At 37.2% G+C, this 4,210-nt stretch overlaps 1 annotated feature.

The window, feature by feature from the left end:
- Positions 3,411–3,617: a silencer, noted in NCBI's record as "fragment chr6:63796218-63796424 (GRCh37/hg19 assembly coordinates)". NCBI's record gives its function as "represses an EF-1alpha promoter that drives an FKBP-Casp9 reporter gene in an ReSE screen in phorbol 12-myristate 13-acetate-treated (for megakaryocytic differentiation) K562 erythroleukemia cells {active_cell/tissue: K562(+PMA)}" and the evidence as "EXISTENCE:reporter gene assay evidence [ECO:0000049][PMID:32094911]".

Genomic DNA, 4,210 nt, shown 5'->3' with positions numbered 1-4,210 from the left:
CGGAAAAAATGAAAAAGAAAGCAAGAGAAGTTTTAGCACAGGAAGTTAGAAAAAGAATAACAAAATTTATCTAAGTAGAAAATATAAAAGAAACAAATATACTTAAAATCAGAGTCAATGTATTGGCATAGTAAAATAAGAGACTTGGCGAAAATCGTGGGTTAATTCTGACAGAGAAAATACAACGTCAAATCAATAGTCTAATTTTTCATAAAGGAGACATAATTTGAAAATTTTTCTAGAACATCTCAAAGGTCAAAGTGTCTTCATTTTTGGAAATGTGATTAACTAATTTTTGTTTAACTGTCTTATAATGAGGCCTACACTAAATTTCCTTTTAAAAACAAAATTATTCCCCCAACATTCCTTGCCCTTCTTAATCTGCTTCATTTGTTTCTGTAATACTTACTGTCTTGTAACACACTATGGAATTTATTTGTTTATAATGCTTATGGCTTATTTTCTTTTCCCTAGCCCTAACTAAAATATAAGGTTTATAAGAGTAGAGATTTTGTCTTTGATTATTCACTAGAACTGTTCATGACATATAGTACGTGCTAAATAAATATTGAATGAGTAAACAAAAGTTTGTTATTTCAGTCTTTGTGGTAACAATAACAAAATAATATACAAAGAAAAGCATAAAAATAAGACCATGTTATTGTCAATTTCTTCACAATTTACAATGAGAAAACAGAGACAAAGAAAGTGATCAACATTTGACTTCTGAGTCTTGTAGATGGGACAAGTACTATAGTTTGTAGTTTTCTGGTCCATTTGTTGTTTCACTATATATGGTCTTTCTTGTCCCAAAGCTAAGCATTCGACCTTTAATTTTAATTACTCTGGCATATCAGATTCTAAATTTGTTCACACATAAGATAAAAATTCCAAAGCTTAGGATAGTGAGTATGTCAGCAACATTTCATAGCTGGTTAGTAGTAGAACTTCTGACCCCTCCCTAACAGGTGTTACGTTGTTATGTACTTGCTCCCCACTCTTATTATATGCAAAGGCATAAAACAGAAGAATATCAGCTAATTCTCATTTATTCACAGATGTTTCTTCCACCAGAGTATTTTACTGTTTAATTATAAAACTTTCTGAAGGTATTAATCATAAATCTTTTTGCTAAGTTTTTATTAGTCATCTCTTGCTTGGCTAAAGTTCATCTTGTACTAGTTTCCTCAAGACTCTTGTAAACAATGTTTTCTAACTCTTACTGTTCACAACTGTTTACAGCTGTTCTACTTAAAGGGCAGGTTGGATAATACTTCGTTTTCTTGAATAGTCAGTGTGTAGCTTCAATGTCCTCCAGTATTGAATGTTCTTGTGAAAGCCTCATGCCAAACTGATTTTCTTCTTAAGTGACTTGATCTCTTTAAGTATCTGACATATGCATTATTTCTTTATCTTTAAAATTTATTACCTTTGTAGCGTATGTATTAGTGTTGACATTTAGGTTAATTTTCCTCTACAGATAATGAGTCATTGCAATATGAAGAACCAAGCCTTTTTTGTTTTAATTTCATAATTTTTTTCTTGAATTTTTTTAAAATTTCAGATTCATTGTTTTTCTTTTCAGGACTCTGTACTTATGCTAGTTTGGATTGTATATATCTATGATCTATATTTTTTATTTTCTCCCAATTTTTTCCTTCTTTCTCTGACTTCATTTTCATTTTATTTTGTTCTTTATCAATTTTTTTTTTCACAAATTTCTTACTGGACTCTCATAGGATCTATTCCCCATTGAGTTCCTTATAATTTTTCTTCATTTCTGAAGTGATTTTGGTGTCTATTTTTCTGAAATTGTGCCATTTCCTATTTTATCATGTTTTTTTAATAGAGATCATCCCTGGTCTTTGAGCATCTTTTCTCCAAATTCTTTTATTTCTGTCCTATAACCTTCCTTCATGCTTTGATCTTTCATTAAGAGGGCTACAGTGTTCATCTGCTTTGTGATTTTTTTTTTTTTTTTTTGGTGAGTCTTCCTCATTTATAGAAAATTTTGTATTGTAACTTTTATTGATGCTTGTTTATTCCTTTTGTTGTCACTCATATTGGAATGAGTTGGATTTTCTGGGACTAAGGTTAAGTATCCCTTATGCAAAATGCTTGGGATCAGAAGTGTTTTGAATTTTAGCTTTCTTTTTGGATTTTGCAATATTTGCAGTTACAACAGTTGAACTTCACTAATCCAAAAAATAAAAATAAAACTGAAATGCTCTAATAAACATTTTCTTTGAGCATCATGTCAGCTCTCAAAAAGTGTTGGATTTTGGAGCACTTCAGATTTCAGATTTTCAGATTAGGGATACTCAGCCTTGCCAGAGTTCACCTCAGCATGTAAGATCAGGCCAGAGTAAATTTCTAGCAATCCATCCTTCCACACTGATGGATGGCTTCCTAGTTAACATATCTTCTCTGATTCTCAGAGGAGACTCTCAGAGCATCTCAAAGGTCAAAGTGTGTCATTTTGGAAAATGTAATTAGCTGATTTTAGTTTAACTGTCTTATAAAGAGGGCTACACTGAATTTCCTTTTTTTTTTTTTTTTTTTTTTTTTTTAGACGGAGTCTCACTCTGTCACCAGGCTGGAGTACAGTGGCAAGATCTTGGCTCACTGCAAGCTCCACCTCCTAGGTTCATGCCATTCCCCTGCCTCAGCCTCCCAAGTAGCTGGGACTACAGGCACCCACCACCACGCCTGGCTAATTTTTTGTATTTTGTTTAGTAGAGACGGGGTTTCACCGTGTTAGCCAGGATGGTCTCGATCTCCTGACCTCGTGATCTGCCCGCTTCAGCCTCCCAAAGTGCTGGGATTCCAGGTGGGAGCCACTGCGCCTGGCCTGAATTTCCTTTTTAAAATAAAATTATTTCCCCAGCATTTCTGGGAACCATAAACATGGTTCTGGATGACTTCTGCCTTCATCCCTGGACTTTCCTGGTTTTTTCACCAAGGAGATGGGTCTTGTTTTCCACAATGATACACTAATATTTCAAAGGTTTATCTTGCTGATGCTTCCTAGATCTTCCACCTCTGCCCTCCTGCTCCTTTCCTGTCTGCAAACTCTGCTTCTCCCAGTGCTTAGGCAATCCCTATTCAAGACAGCCTGCACAGAGTCCTTCCTTTTTGTATTTAGGGCACGTACAGGATCTGCCACCAGCAGACCACCAGATGCTGAGAGGTGAAGCTAGCTGGACTTCTGGGTTGGGTGGGGACTTGGAGAACTTTTCTGTCTTACAAGAGGATTATAAAATGCACTAATCAGCACTCTGTAAAAATGCACCAATCAGTGCTCTGTGGCTAGAGGTTTGTAAAATAGACCAATCAGCACACTGTAAATTGGACGAATAAGTGCTCTGTAAAATGAACCAATCAGCAGGACATGGGCAGGGACAAATAAGGGAATAAAAGCTGGCCACCCCAGCCAGCAGTGGCAACCCTCTTGTCCCCTTCCACACTATGGAAGCTTTGTTCTTTAGCTCTTCACAATAAATCTTGCTGCTGCTCACTCTTCAGGTCCATGCCATCTTTAAGAGCTGTAACACTCACTGCAAAGGTCCATGGCTCCATTCTTGAAGTCAGTGAGACCACGAACCCACCAGAAGGAACCAACTCCAGACACATCTTGGGGGCTCATCTGGAATATTTCCAAGTGGTGAGTACAATTGGACCCATTTTGCTTGCTATTTTCTCCTATTTTTCCTCAGAATTTGGGGGCTAAACACCGGGCACCTATCAGCCGGCTAAAAATGACTAGCATGGCTGCAGGACTAAAGACATGGGTGTCAGGCTTTCTGGGAAAGAGCTCTCTAACTATTCCTGACTCTTCGGAGTTGGTAGCATTGGTTTGCCTGGAAACAGCTTAAACTTTTCCTGTACTTCTGGGCTGAACTGAGTGTCAACAGAAAGGAAAGCCATTCAGCTCCAGGGTCCTGATAAAATGTTGGTTGACCCTATAGCCATGAGCAGAGCTCTCAAAGTCAAGTCATCTAAGCAAGACTTGCCCATCTATCCTATCTAACTTGACCCTTGCCTCCTGGGTCCTAATGCTTTTCAGACAAATTTCCTCCTGCCTCTCTTTTCCGAGGCTAGTCCCGCTTCTAAAAACCACTCCCTGTCTCTGGTGCTTTTCTAGTTTCTCCTATAAGAATGATTTCTAGTATAAATTTTGGGACTCTATTCCTTTCTTTAGGCACCCAGG

This window comes from Homo sapiens, chromosome 6 (assembly GCF_000001405.40).
Source record: "Homo sapiens chromosome 6, GRCh38.p14 Primary Assembly".
NCBI lineage: Eukaryota > Metazoa > Chordata > Mammalia > Primates > Hominidae > Homo > Homo sapiens.
This window is presented reverse-complemented; position numbering and strand designations above follow the sequence as displayed.